The following is a 15,270-nucleotide window of genomic DNA, read 5'->3' on the forward strand; positions in this document are numbered from 1 at the left end:
AGATTTGCTTTTTAAAATATTTTTCTCTACTTAAAGCTAACCATAAAGATCAAGACACTTAGGCAGATATGCCTTGGCTCCAAGGCTGAGAACACATTTTTATTTTCTAACTTGGCCAAAACATTCAGATGTTTCTTAAATTGTGGAATAGATACCAAATCACAGATTAGAAGGAACATATCCAAACCTTCTCCAGCCAGCACCCCCGCCCCCATCAATTTTACATTTAAAAGCCTGTAAAATATTTAAAAAGAAGATCACGATTTTCTAAATTCAATTAAGTAGTAATAGGAAAGGTTGAAGCTTTCAGTTTTGAGATAAAAAATGACAGAGGGTAAAGCCTTCTTCCTCGGTTCGCCTCTAAGCATAGACAATGCTAAATAAGAGGCTTTTCATTCAACCTGGTAATGGGAGACATCCATCACCTCTGTCTCTGAAGCCGGCCTTAAACCCTTCCTCAAGTGGAGAATATTATTAAATGTTTAAAGAAAACTGAAGTCACAGAAGGACATTTCCCCAACCTATGATAGTGTAGATTAATCAAGGAAGACAATTTGCTCCTTATCTTCGAAATGTGAATATAAAATGGTTTTAAATATTCCAAATCCTCAGAGCCTACTTAAGAACAGATACTGATAGCACTTCTCCAAACTGTTTATAAGAATGCCTCTGTTTGCAGCAGTACTCAATATGAAAGTTATCTCACGTGTCCATTACTGAGCAATTGCATAATAAACGTTTGTTATACAAATGAATGTTAAATAACATAAAAACAGTCATAACTACTGTGTTATTTTGGCAGCATTAAAGACAACATTCGACCAACTCCAGAGTAGTCTGTTCTATTGTATTTGTAATGTATCCAACATATATAATCACACATATTTAATGTTATATTATAAATATTTATATTAATGTAATTTAATAAAAATTCAATATTTGTAATTGTATATATCCATTTAATTTGAGGCTTTATTAAATGCCCTGAATGTCCCTGTATAACATTCTGTACATTGTAGAGAATCAATTATGCCCCAAGAATGAATGTTCTGAGGGCTCAGGAGTAATTATAGGGATTTCTTTATGGACTAAAAAGGAAAAAATTCTAGTACTCGTATTTTTATATATTGTAAAATATCTTCATCCTCCCAGGCCTCTGCATCCTGTTCCCTCATTTCCACCTCTTTGCCCTTTAAAATGTTCACATTTGTCTTACTCCAAACTCCTAAGTTGAGGGAGAGAGGACATGCTGTCTCTTTTTGCTTATTAATGTGAAAATGTGCTATATACTTTTTGATAGAGAGGGTTGTGTGAGCCAGCAAATGCACTGGCAGGTGGACTAGTTTTTGCTGCCAAATGAGTCAGCTGAGATAGGAACAGTAATTTATTCGAATGGACATGGGTTGACAATGCCATAAAGAGGTACTGGTATAGCTTAATGGAAGAAACTGTCAAGAAAATGTAGGTTGAGCATGGTGTGATTCGGCAAGCATCAGAGTGTCTCCATGTCCACAAGTGTCTGCCCTTCCTAATCCAGGCCACTGTCTTCTGGATTCCTCGGCAAAAATGCAAATACCCCTAGAGGAGTGACACATCAAATGATTATCAGGTGTTAATATTATGTTGAAATCACTAATATTAATTTTTTTTTTGAGACGGAGTCTCAACCTGTTGCTCAGGTTGGAGTGCAATGGCACGATCTCGGCTCACTACAGCCTCCACACTGGGTTCAAGCAATTCCCCTGCCTCAGCCTCCCGAGTATCTGGGATTACAGGTGCCTGCCACCACGCCCAGCTAATTTTTGTGTATTTTTAGTAGAGACAGGGTTTCACTGTGTTGGCCAGGCTGGTCTCGAACTCCTGACCTCGTGATCCTCCCACCTCAGCCTTCCAAAGTGCTGGGATTACAGGCTTGAGCCACCATGCCCAGCCAAGATTGCTTTTTTAACAAAAGCAGAGGACATGGCGTCTTTGAGACAGAAAAAGACCTGGAATATGAACTGTTGCAGAGAGTCAGCCATGTTATGTTATCAGGACCTGATAACAATGCCCTCATTCTAGACACGATGAGTCTGTTATTGCTGTCAAGATCACATTCGCTGTTCTGGTGGCCATTTTATATTCACACAAAGCTTATATTGCACTCATGTAAGGCTCATTCTAGACTGAAATCCTCAAGACTTTTCATATAGGTTGACTCTAACCTATATTTTCTATGACCTGATCTTGAAAATTATTTTTTAGCATTCACATGTGAGGGCCTAATGGTCCATTTCTGTAAAAATTCAGTTGCATGTGGGTTAAATGAGTTGTGCTAATCACCATGGCTGACATATGCTAAGTGCTCAGAATTTACCATTCTGGAAGGTCTTTCTGTTCTCAAATGTGCTTACTCTTTTTTCCTAGCTTCTTGTCAATGGTAAATGATGTAAACATACTTTCTATAACTTCATCCAAGTCGATGATACTTAAATTTTTGGTCAGAACAGGGCCCCAGATGCTGCCCTGTTACACGACACCAAAAATCTCTTTTGAGTGACATTAATCCATTAAACAGCATCCTTTCCCAGTGAATATTCCATGTAATTTTTCCTACAATGCCCACATTTCATCATCTTGTTCTTAAGAATATCATTATAAACCTTACCAAATAGTTTGCTTAAGTGCAGGTAAACCATACCTGCTGATTTCCTTCACTTACCAGTCTAGGAAACTTATCAAAGAAGGAACTGTGTTAGTATAACATGACTTGTTTAAAAGGAGTTCTGAGGGTAGGAACTTTTCCTTTCACATCTGGCACAGACGCTCAAAACACATTTGCAGAATTCCAAACTCTGTACTGCTAAATCCCCAACGCTTTATACATAGTAGATTCTTGATAAATGTTTGTGGAATTAATAACCCATTCTGGTTTTTTATGACCACAACTTCCTTTCTATACAACTTTTTTTATTTTGAGACAGAGTTTCACTCTCATCCGCCAGGCTGGAGTGCAATGGTGCGATCTTGGCTCACTGAAACCTCTGCCTCCCTGGTTCCAGCAATTCTCCTGCCTCAGCCTCCCAAGTAGTTGGGATTACAGGCACCCACCACCACACCTGGCTAATTTTTGTATTTTTAGTAGAGACAGGGCTTCACCATGCTGGCCAGGCTTGTCTTGAACTCCTGACATCGTGATCTGCCAGCCTCCGCCTCCCAAAGTGCTGGGATTACAGGCATGAGCCACTAGGCCCAGCCTATACAACTATCTTATAAGGAACTTATGTTAGAATTTTGCCCACATTTATTGCTTGTGGTTCACTGAATCTGGCTTCAATTCCTTTTGAAAATTGAAATATGTACCCAATTTGTGTCTTCTGAAATTACTCCAGAGGTAATTCTTCACTTTGCTCTAAGATCTTTGGCAGTGGGTATAGCAGGCTTTGAAGGATTTGGAGGAGGCAGGGGTTCCAGTGCCAGCTTCTTTACTGTGCAGTAAAGGGTTAAGGCCATGTGTTGGTTAATATTAAGTGTCAACTTGATTGGATGGATGGATGCAAAGTATCATTTCTGGGAGTATCTGGGTGTTTCTGGGTGTGGCCAGAAAAGATTAACATTTGAGTCAGTGGACCGGGAGAAGACTCACCCTCAGAAAGACCCACCCACACTGTGGGTGGGCACCATGCAACCGGCTGCCAGCATGGCTAGAAAAAGCAGGCAGAAGAAGGTGGAAGGAGCCAACTTTCTGAGTCTCCCAGCCTTCATCTTTCTCCTGTGCTGGCTATTTCCTGCCCTCAAACATCAGACTCTATGTTCTTTGGCTTTTGGACTCTTGGACTTACACCAGTTGTTGCCAGGGGCTCTTGGGCCACTGGCCACAGACTGAAGGCTGCACTGTCAGCTTCCCTACTTTTGACATTTGGGGACTCAAACTGAGCCACTACTGGCTTCCTTGCTCCTCAGCTTGGGCCTATAGAGGGAGTTTACTTTGTGACTGTGTGAGTCACTTCTCCTTAATAAACTCCCCTTTATATATACATCTATCCTATTAGTTCTGTCCCTCTAGAGAACCCTGACTAATACAGACAGTAAGCTTGGGGTACTCAAGTTCTGCACATTTCAAAGAAATGACTGACCCTTTACTGGCTCCTGGGAGACAACCTCTGAGCCCGTGGAGTATCCTGTCTGATAAAAACGTTTTCGTGTACCTAAGGCCCTGAGCTACTGCTGTATCAGTTTGATCTCTAGGGGACTAGAGACTGAGTACCTAAGGTCAGTCATGGAGGCACTGTGTCTACATGACTGATCCCCAATAAAAACTCTGGATGTCAAGGCTCAGGTGAGCTTCCCTAATTGGCAGCACTTCATACACCTTTGTCACACTTCAGTGCTGGGAGAATTAAGCACTGTGCATGTGTCAGTTGAGAGAGGATAACTGGCCTTCATCCCATGTGCTTTGCCTTTTGCTGATTTTAATTTGTATCCGTTCACTATAAGAAGCTATAACCATGAGTATCACAGCTTTTCTGAATCCTTGAGTTTTTCTAGTGCAGCCAGCCTGAGATTGGTCTTGGGAACTCCTGACATATCCACTTACTCTATGCTAGCAATGTGTCCTTGGTCATATTATCTAATCTTATTTAGTTTCAGTTTCTTCACCTATAATATGGGGATAATAATAATAACATCTCCCTTGTAGTGAAGTTCCAGCACCCAGCCTACACTTTATTTTCTCCACAAGTATAACTTGAGAATTGCTATAGAAATTATAAGAAAGTGCTATGTCAGCACATAGTGGATGCTTAGCAAAAGTCTGTTTCCCTAAGCAATCCCTTTTGTAAGTTCTCATATTTCCCCTCTCCCCCAACCCTAAGATATAATTGTTGAGACCAGGAGATGTCATCTCAGCTAGTCCAAGGAGATGTCCTCTTCCAATCTTTTCACCCTTATGGACACCATTCTCTTTTTATCAATTGTTTGCTTTTTCCATTTCCATCCAAAAATTGTTCTCTCTGATGAAGAAGACAGGAAAAGTCAGAGCTTTGTTTGGCATTTGTCTTCCATCACCTTTATCTTATTGGCCTTAAGCAGTAAATCTATCTCTTTTTCCATCTTTTTTAAAAGTTCAGTTTTGTTTTATTCTACTCTCTCTGGGATGTTTTCCTATTCCCAGATCAATTGGATGACAGCTTTTCTGGCCTTACTCCTACACGTTTGTGATGGTTCCTGGTATTAGTTTTTTTTTTTTAATCTACCCTTCCTTTTTCAAAAAAATAAAAACATATTCTTTACTTAATTTTAAGATTTATTTTGTTGCTATTACTTTTCCTAATTACAAAAGGAATGTATGGTCAAAATCAAAACATTACAGATATTTGTACTTTAGAAAGTAAAATTTTCTAGAAGCCTACCTCTAAAGATATCATATTTCCTTTAGACTCTTCAGTTCATAGCGAGTTCTTGTGCAACCAGCCACTGGTTTCTTTAATTACCTTACCATTTTCTTCCCTGTTAGGAGAATTTTCAATTGCATAACAGAAGTTATTTTTAAAAGCGTTCCAGCTCTCTCAAATTTCATTATGGAAATCATGAAAAGATGGATCATGTTCATCCTTTTCTCTGGACTTTAAAACTATGTCTTTCTCAAGTCTACACACAGGTTTGAGCATACTCAGCTTTCTCTCCCTGGTTTTCAGGAATACCTTTTCGTGCTTCTTTTTTTAAATGAAGGACTTGGACTATGCGGTCTAAAAGCACTCATCATTTGCTATTTTCTCTGATTCTACCATCCACAGAAAGCTGCACAGGTGAACAACATTTGAACAAGCCTTTGTGAAGAACAGCTTTCCCAGGCATACATGCCTGTGACAGGGATCAGAGAAGTGCCGCAGGAATGCAGCCATGGGGGAGCTAGTGACAAATTTGGAGTAGCTAATTTTTGAATCTTATTAATTAACGACCCTTTGAGGTACATGGGTGGTTGAAGGCAGCATGGAAGCTGGTCTAGAAAGGTAGAATCTTATTATATGGCTTTAGGTGATACTATTCTCTTTGCCTCAGTTCCATATATGTAAAATGAGATAATGGAAATTGAAGCCCGGTGTGGTAAGCTACACTGGTGACTCACATCTATTATTTGATGTGTTCAGCACTCCACTTTTCTGGGAACAGGCACTAACTCGCTGTTTTAGTCAGGGTTCTTTCAAGGGACAGAACTAATAGGGTAGATGTATATGAAGGGGAGTGTATTAAGGAGTATTAACTCACAGGATCACAAGCTGAAGTCCCACAATAGGCTGTCTGCTTGGCTGAGACGCAAGGAAGCCAGTCCGAGTCCCAAAACTTCAAAAGCCGACAGTGGAGCCTTCAGTCTGTGGCCAGAGATCTGAGAACACCTGGAAAACCACCGGTGTAAGCCCAAGAGCCCAAAAGCCAAAGAACATAGAGTCTGATATTTGAGGGCAGGAGGCATCCAGCACAGGAGAAAGATGAAGTCTGGAAGACTCAGCAAGTCTGCTCTTCCATCTTCTCCTGCCTGCTTTATTCTAGCTGTGCTGGCAGCTGATTAGATGGGGCCCACCCGGATGGAGGTGGGTCAGCTTCTCCCAGCCCACTGACTCAAATATTAATCTCCTTTGGCAACAGCCTCACAGACACACCCAGGAGCCATAGTTTGAATCCTTCAATCCAAGCAAGTTGACACTCAGTATTAACCATCATAGCCGCCTTTATAGAAATTTCATTCATTCATTTATTCAACAATATTTATTGGCTGGGCGCTGTGGCTCATGTCTGTAATCCCAGTACTTTGGGAGGCTGAGGCAGGCAGATCACCTGAGGTCAGGAGTTCAAGACCAGCCTGGCCAACATGGTGAAACCCCATCTGTCTCTACTAAAAATACCAAAAAATTAGCCAAGTGTGGTGGCAGGCACCTGTAATTCCAGCTACTTGGGAGGCTGAGGCAGGATAATTGCTTGAACTCGGGAGGTGGAGGTTGCAGTGAGCAGAGACTGTGCCATTGCACTCCAGCCTGGGCAACAAGAACAAAACTCCGTCTCAAAAAAACAAAACAAAACAAAACAAAACAACCCAGTACTTATTGAGTGCTATGTCTGACACTATTCTAGGCCCTGGAGATATAGCAATGAATAAAACATTCCTGTCTGCATGAAGCTGATATTCTGATAGAAGGCATCAGACATTAAACAAAATTAGTAAAATATGTGGTACGTATTAGTCCATCTATGTTACTATAAAAGAATATCTGAGACTGGGTAATTTATAAAGAAAAGAAGCTTAATTGGCTCACAGTTCTGCAGGTTGTAGAGGAAGCATGGTGTGGGCATCTAATTCTGGTGAGGCCCTCAGGAAGCTTCCAATCATAGCAGGTGAATGGGAAGCAGGCACGTCATGTGGCTGAGAGTAGGAGCAAGAGAGCAAGGGCAGGGAGGTCCCAGACTCTTAAACAACCAGCTCTCACATGAACTAACTGAGTGAGAACTCATTTGTCACCAAGGGGTTGGTGCTAAACCATTCACGAGGGGTCCACTCCTGTGACCCAATCACCTACCACCAGGCCCAACCTCCAACACTGGGAGCTAAACCATTCACGAGGGGTCCACTCCTGTGACCCAATCACCTACCACCAGGCCCAACCTCCAACACTGGGAGCTAAACCATTCACGAGGGGTCCACTCCTGTGACCCAATCACCTACCACCAGGCCCAACCTCCAACACTGGGAGCTAAACCATTCACGAGGGGTCCACTCCTGTGACCCAATCACCTACCACCAGGCCCAACCTCCAACACTGGGAGCTAAACCATTCACGAGGGGTCCACTCCTGTGACCCAATCACCTACCACCAGGCCCAACCTCCAACACTGGGAGCTAAACCATTCACGAGGGGTCCACTCCTGTGATCCAATCACCTACCACCAGGCCCAACCTCCAACACTGGGAGCTAAACCATTCACGAGGGGTCCACTCCTGTGATCCAATCACCTACCACCAGGCCCAACCTCCAACACTGGGAGCTAAACCATTCATGAGGGGTCCACTCCTGTGATCCAATCACCTACCACCAGGCCCAACCTCCAACACTGGGAGCTAAACCATTCATGAGGGGTCCACTCCTGTGATCCAATCACCTACCACCAGGCCCAACCTCCAACACTGGGAATCACGTTTCAACATGAGATTTGGAGGGAACCAACATCCGAATCATTTTCATGGTATGTCAGGTGAGATGTGCCATGGAAAAAAATAAAGCCAGAAAGTTAGCTAGGAAAGTGCCATGGTAGAGGGATAGAAAGAGGGAGGTATTATGTTCTGTAGGTGGTCAGGAGTGACTTCATCCAGAAGATTTTTGGAATTGGATCAAAATAGGATGGTTTAAAACAAGGATGTGGAATGAAGAGTTAGAATAAAAGGCCTGTTAGAAACAGGAAAGAGGAATAAAGACACAAGTGGGCCAGGCGTGATGGCTCGTGCCTGTAATCCCAGCACTTTGGGAGGCCGAGGCAGGCGGATCACCTGAGGTTGGGAGTTCATGACCAGCCTGACCAACATGGAGAAACCCCGTCCCTACTAAAAATACAAAATTAGCTGGGCATGGTGCCACATGCCTGTAATCCCACCTACTCAGGAGTCTGAGGCAGGAGAATCATTTGAACCCGGGAGGCGGAGGTTGCAGTGAGCTGAGATTGTGCCACTGCACTCCAGCCTGGGCAACAAGAGTGAAACTCTGTCTCAAAAAAAAAAAAAAAAAAAAAAAAGACACAAGTGAGTAGCATAAAAGAAGGATGTGCAGCTAGAGACAGAGAACTTTCTAGGTTCTGAATAGTGTGTCAGTGTATTTCTGATAAATCTTCTCCCCCTGTGCCCCCAAGCTGGTATGAATCAGTTTTCTGTTGACCAAAGAGCCCAAACTCATACATGTATTGGAGCAAAAAAAACCTGTGAATTCAAGGCCTGCCCAATGTGGGAGATGTTGATTACCTTAGAAAAACAAAGCTTGGTGCTTCTGATCCCAAGAATGCCGATATAATAGCAGAGTAGCATTAATTTTGTTGTGTCCTAGCATCCCAGAAATCAAACATGCAAGAAATATACATTTCTTCATTTTCTTTAAATCAGATTAACTCTGGTCCTACACTGGGCTGATGGAAAATTCAAATATAAGCATCATATGTTACCCCTAGTTCTGTTCTCCCTCTGCATCCCTCACCCCCAGAGCCACAAGAGAAATAGGGAGGCTTGCTGATGTCCGGACAATTGGGAAAAGGCCTCTAATCTCCAAGTGCCTTGGAGTCATCCAAGTCATCATTGATCAAGCCTTGCAACCTTCCCTGCAAGTCCCTGGCTCTCTGCTTCCATGGCACAAGAATAGAGAACTCTTTCCTGAGGCTAATGGACACCATGCTCCTTTGGGTGCAGTCATCCCTTCTGAAGTCACAACATCTTTGTGGAAAAATTAACATCTTGAAGCAGGGCCAGGTGTCCACTAATCCTGTGATATGCCAATCTTTTCAGTTAGCTTAGGCTTTTATAATAGACCACAAGAGTAAGTGACTTCCTTCTAGGAGTTTCAGCTTTCCACCCTGAAAAAACTCCCTCAAAGATTTTTTTTTCCTTTTAATAAATTGTTCTGCCATGTGTCTGTTGCACGAATGGGTGCAAGTTCAAATGGGACCCCATAACTGGTGATTGTGAGCAGCTAAGGGGCATCACTAAAATACTAGATATTAAAGTCCAAGAGTATGATGAGGACAAAGAGTGGTTGTAAAGAAACCTAAAAAACAATGAGGGCAAACTTTATCTGTCTCACAATAGTTATGATAGCATTTAATGTTTCTGGTGCAGAAGTAATTTTTCTCCACTCTGCCTTGTGCTGGAATCAAAACAATATTCCTCAATCTTGTTAGGGAGTGAATAACTTTTAGGGAGAAGGTCTCAAATGGGAAGTGGTTTAAAGTTTATGAATTGCAAGAATACCTTTTGATATCTAAACAAAGTGTACTAAGGAATTCAACCCACAGAAGAGCTGATATTCAAAATCAGAATTATTAAAAATTGTAGTGGGGTCAGTGGGGGTTTGGGGAGGGTGAACAGGAGTGCATGAAGAGCATCAAAATAAGCACAAGTGATTTACCATTGGCTTGGTTTCTTCGGGGAATTTGAAGAATTCATACTTATTTATACGTTTTCAAATATTTATTTAAGTGCCTACAACATGTGAGGCATTTGGGAATGTCTCAGTTAACGTGGTACATAAGTTCCTTGCTCTAATAGAGCTCACATTTGGATGTCTTCTAATTCTGAACCTGAATGTAAGAGCACAATACAATCAATGAAGCAGTGAGCCCAGGAAGCCATGGATCTTCACAAGCCTCAGGAAAAGTCAACATTTAAAATTTTCTATTTAAAGTCCAAGGGCACAGCAAGCTCTTGGTCTATATGGGAAGGCCATGGACTACAATTCCCACAAGTCCGTGCGACCTCTCCGTTCTGCGCAGCTTCGCGGTATGAGGAAGAGGGTCCTGTCAGGCGCACTCTTGTTGCATCATCAGCGTGCACCTCCACGATGAAACAGGTCTGGGCTACAAAAGTATGGCCGCTTCTGAGGCGGCGGTGGTGTCTTCGCCGTCTTTGAAAACAGACACATCCCCTGTCCTTGAAACTGCAGGAACGGTCGCAGCAATGGCTGCGACCCCGTCAGCAAGGGCTGCAGCCGCGGTGGTTGCGGCCGCGGCCAGGACCGGATCCGAAGCCAGGGTCTCCAAGGCCGCTTTGGCTACCAAGCTGCTGTCCTTGAGCGGCGTGTTCGCCGTGCACAAGCCCAAAGGGCCCACTTCAGCCGAGCTGCTGAATCGGTTGAAGGAGAAGCTGCTGGCAGGTACTGCAGCCCGGGTGGGGACCAGGCTGAGGCGGTCGCTGCGAGAGGGGAAGCACATTAGGCTTTTTGCGACGCTCGTGATTCAAGAGACAAAAGGAGGGGAAAGGGAGACTGACCATTGAATTAGCTCTGGACAGGAATCTCGGGCATCTCGGGCTTGGACTTGCCCTGGCACGAACTCTTGTAGCCTACTTGGCAGTTGTAGTTCTCAACGGGAGGAAAAAAATCCCGTACTTACACAATAAAACCCTGCCCTTGGGCGTGCAGACCTGTTTTCTGTAATCTGATCGATCCCTCAGGAGGCTTTTGTTGGGTTCATGTGGATGAACCCCAAAAGGAAGTACTGGTTCTGCACCCCTAAAGTTGCATTCCTCAAAATGTATTGGAAATGCAGATATACTTCGTTAACCAAGACTTAATATAGTCGTTTTCACATTTTAATGGGCCTAACAATTACTTAGAGTCTCTTGTACAAATACAGATTCCTAATCCCTGCCCTGTCCGAGATTGTGATTCGGAGAGTTCGGGGTATTTTTAGGAAACTGCAATTCTAAATAGTTGCTCCAGGTGATTCCAGTGTAAGTAGTTTATGGACCACATTTGAGGAACACTAAATATAACTTGGCCACTAAGCTGAGAGTGTTCATTTTATTGATTCGTTTATTCACGTACACTGGGAAAATAGTAGAAAAGCCTAGAGAATCACCCCGTTAATCAGCTCGGATGATTTCACACATAAAGCATCCAGGATCCTTAAGTTCATTGGACATATACAATAAGCCAGGTCTGTGCTAGCCTATAGAGACTTGAAGATGAAAGATAACTCTCTTACCTTAACTGAGCTGATAGCCTAGTAATTTCTGCACCTTGTGGTGGTAAAACTAGTTAGTTAGGTTATTCAAGGCCCTCCAGAGTTTGGCCGTATTCTGTCTCGCCATTAAACCAGTAACAGGGACTTTCTTACATTGTTTAGTGTCCCATGGAAAACTTTACACTTTAAAAAAATGCAAAAACAAATTATTCTGATGGGAATTATAACTGACAGTACAGATTTAAGTGTTTATGGGCAAATAGGTACACTCCTGCAGATGTTTAATTCCAGTATCACGACTACTTATTCTTTTATTAAAGTTTTGCTTTGTTGCCTGAAAGTATGGGTCATACAGAGGACGTCAAAGTGAGGAATTGCATCAAGGATATGTATTGTGGTATCATCATAGTTTTTTAGTTTTCCTTCATAGAACTGCTGCTTTCCTGATTTGTTAGCTAAACTCTGGGTTTCTTTTCTTTTTTTTTTTTTTTTATCCTTAAGGTAATGATTACCATTCTTTCAGACAAGTTTCTGACAAAGCCATATTCTGGCCTTCTGGCTAATCTGCCTCTAAGAACTGAAGTTTCTTGTTGAATCTTGGTTAAAATGTTTCAAGGCTCTTGCTAGGCTAGAACCTTTAGCTAGAGACATTCTCATTATCCTCGATTTCTATATTGCTTGTGATTGGCCTATTTTGTATTTATGTTAGTTAGGCTAGGGCTTTCCAAATGTCATTGTAATTGGCTGTCAGAATTGCTTGGGAAGTTTTTGTTTTTGTTTTTGTTTTTGAGATGGAGTTTCGCTGTTGTTGCCCAGGCTGGAGTGCAATGGCAAGATCTCGGCTCACTGCAACCTTCCCCTCCTGGGTTCAAGTGATTCTCCTGCCTCAGCCTCCCAAGTAGCTGGGATTACAGGCATGCACCACCATGCCCAGCTAATTTTGTATTTTTGGTAGAGACGGGGTTTCTCCATGTTGGTCAGGCTGGGCTCGAACTCCCGACCTCAGGTGATCTGCCCGCCTCAGCCTCCCAAAATGCTGGGATTACAGGCATGAGCCACCACTCCCGGCCTTGGGAAGGTTCTTAAAGATACCTACATTCTAATGCCATGTTTGACAACCATGATCAGTGGTTGTGTCCTCTAATACCATTCCTTGTCTTTCTTTGCATTGATTCCTATTATGCTACAATCTCTACTGTTTGTCTGTTGGGATCCTTCAAAGCCCTAAGTGTACCAGAATTTTATAGCTAGAAAATAATAAAAATCCACGAATACTTAGTTCAGTGGGGTGAACCAAATTCCCCACTTTATATAGTAGAGGCAGTACGTCTGCAAGTTAGAAGGAGGTATATTTGGGCACAAAGGGAAGATAGTATATTTATGGGGCCTTCTTACTCCAAGGGGTGTCAAGTTGAAAATGTAAAGAGTTCCCCAAAAGGTTTCTGTTAATTTATGAGTGAGAGATCCATGATGGATTGCAAGTGACAGATCAAGGGTTTGAAACTGAGGTCTGGCCTTAGAAGTTTATGTCAAAGCAGACAACCATACCCTTCTAAGTATGGTGATGTCATAATTAGGGAATGACGCCAGGGTGTTCCAGAGACCATGGTTCTGACTCAGTAGAGTGGTAATTTTGTTGGGAGGCCGAGCCACCCAGCATATCCTTTTGGCCATTTAATCTGGCTTCTGCATTTCCACTGTTGCTTTGTTTTCCCTCCTCCCTTCTCTGTCCACTCGTTTCGTTTTCTTTGCTTTATTTTCTTTCTGCTCAGTGTCAGTGTTGATAAGGAAGGTTTGATGGGCTTGGGGGCAGGTATAGATCAATGTAGCAGTTCCTGCTTTTCTCTTCTTTCTCACTTGAAGTCTAATAGCCAATACTCTCTCAGTATGTTATATGCCATCATCAAAAACAATTTATATTTATCCAGAAGGAAGCACTGGCTCTGTCTCCCCAAAGTACTTTCAAGTAACATTATTTTGCATTATCTTTTTTTTTTTTTTAAACAGGACAGGATCTCACTCTGTTGCCCAGGCTGGAATACAGTGGCACAGTCTTGGCTTACTGCAACCTCTGCCTCCTGAGCTCAAGCAGTCCTCTCACCTAAGCCTCCCCAGTAGCAAGGACTATAGGTGCACACCACCATGCCCACCTAATTTTTGTATTTTATTTTGGGTAGAGACAGGGTTTCCCTGTGTTGCCTAGGGTGGTCTCAAACTTCCAGGTTCAAGTGATCCACCCATCTCGGCCTCCCAAAGTGCTGGGATTACAGGCATGAGCCACTGTGCCCGGCTCACTTTATGTTTACAACAGGAATATGAGATAAGCCGGGCTGGCATCCTCTTTTTAAAAATCTAAATGCTTAGGAAGTTAAGGTGCAACTTAATCTTAGCTGCTTTCCACATAACGTTTTGTTGAGATTCGCTTCCTTTGTTTATTTATTTATTTTTTTTTGAGACGGAGTCTTGCTCTGTCGCCCAGGCTAGAGTGCAGTGGCGTGATCTTGGCTCACTGCAAACTCCGCCTCCCAGGTTCACACCATTCTCCTGCCTCAGCCTCCTGAGTAGCTGGGACTACAGGCACCCGCCACCACGTCCGGCTAATTTTTTGTATTTTTAGTAGAGACGGTGTTTCACCGTGTTAGCCAGGATGGTCTCAATCTCCTGACCTCGTGATCCGCCCGCTTCGGCCTCTCAAAGTGCTGGGATTACAGGTGTGAGCCACAGCACCCGGCCTAGATTCGCTTCTTTAATGAATTGAAAATTTTGGTTAGGAGAAGGAGACAGCGAATGCAGGGAGTTTGGGAATTTAGTGTATTTAGAAGTAGCCCTGCATGAGATGTACTCGCAATGTTAGGTAGCTGGAGATAGCAGCAAAGACCATGGAAGAGATTCAGAAATGGAAATTGAGGACTTTTAAAAGTATCTTTCTATATAAAAATTAACTTCTTTTCATGATTCTCTATCTAACAGCCCACCACTACCAAGAATTTACTAGATTTTTGCGGGTTAGCTTGGATATTTACCCACCTTTTAAAAATGCCGTTTTTCTCTTAGAGAATGAATTCTACTGTCTTGATAGCTGATTTTGGAATACTCTTTCTTTATAATTTAGGGAATGTCCATTTTAAAATCTTTTCTTTGCTAGTAATGAGGTCATAGTCTCTTAACATGTAAAGTTTGTATAATACTTTTTGTTTGTTTTGAAAATGCCATCCCCTTTTCCTCCCAAGTTTATGAAGATCCTACTTCATTTGTCTTGGTGATCACCTTTTTTCATCCCCATTTCTCTCATAGAAGCTGGAATGCCTTCTCCAGAATGGACCAAGAGGAAAAAGCAGACTTTGAAAATTGGGCATGGAGGGACTCTAGACAGCGCAGCCCGAGGAGTTCTGGGTAAGAGATATGAAAGGCAGTTAAGTGTCCACTGTCACTTAATATCAGAAAGAAACACTGGTTGAGAACAGATAGATTGACTAAAGCCTTCTATTTTTCAGTCATTTTGGAATGTTTCAGATCTACTGGATATATATAGTGCCATCTTTTAAAGAAGCCCTTAAATGGTACAAGGCCTACAAGGCTGTT

General features: G+C 42.6%; 1 protein-coding gene across 1 annotated transcript in view, besides 1 other annotated feature; it reads left to right on the forward strand.

Annotated features, from left to right (window-relative positions):
* Window positions 10,365–10,904: an enhancer, noted in NCBI's record as "active region_4093". NCBI's record gives its function as "activates an Ori minimal core promoter by ATAC-STARR-seq in GM12878 lymphoblastoid cells {active_cell/tissue: GM12878}" and the evidence as "EXISTENCE:reporter gene assay evidence [ECO:0000049][PMID:35858748]".
* Window positions 10,533–15,270, forward strand: part of TRUB1 (TruB pseudouridine synthase family member 1) — a 39,482-nt gene continuing 34,744 nt past the window's right edge. The window contains exons 1-2 of the mRNA NM_139169.5: window positions 10,533–10,877; window positions 14,983–15,081. Coding sequence (NP_631908.1) covers window positions 10,592–10,877; window positions 14,983–15,081 — 385 coding nt within the window. The 5' untranslated portion in view covers window positions 10,533–10,591. The remainder of the gene's footprint in view (window positions 10,878–14,982; window positions 15,082–15,270) is intronic.

This window comes from Homo sapiens, chromosome 10 (assembly GCF_000001405.40).
Source record: "Homo sapiens chromosome 10, GRCh38.p14 Primary Assembly".
NCBI lineage: Eukaryota > Metazoa > Chordata > Mammalia > Primates > Hominidae > Homo > Homo sapiens.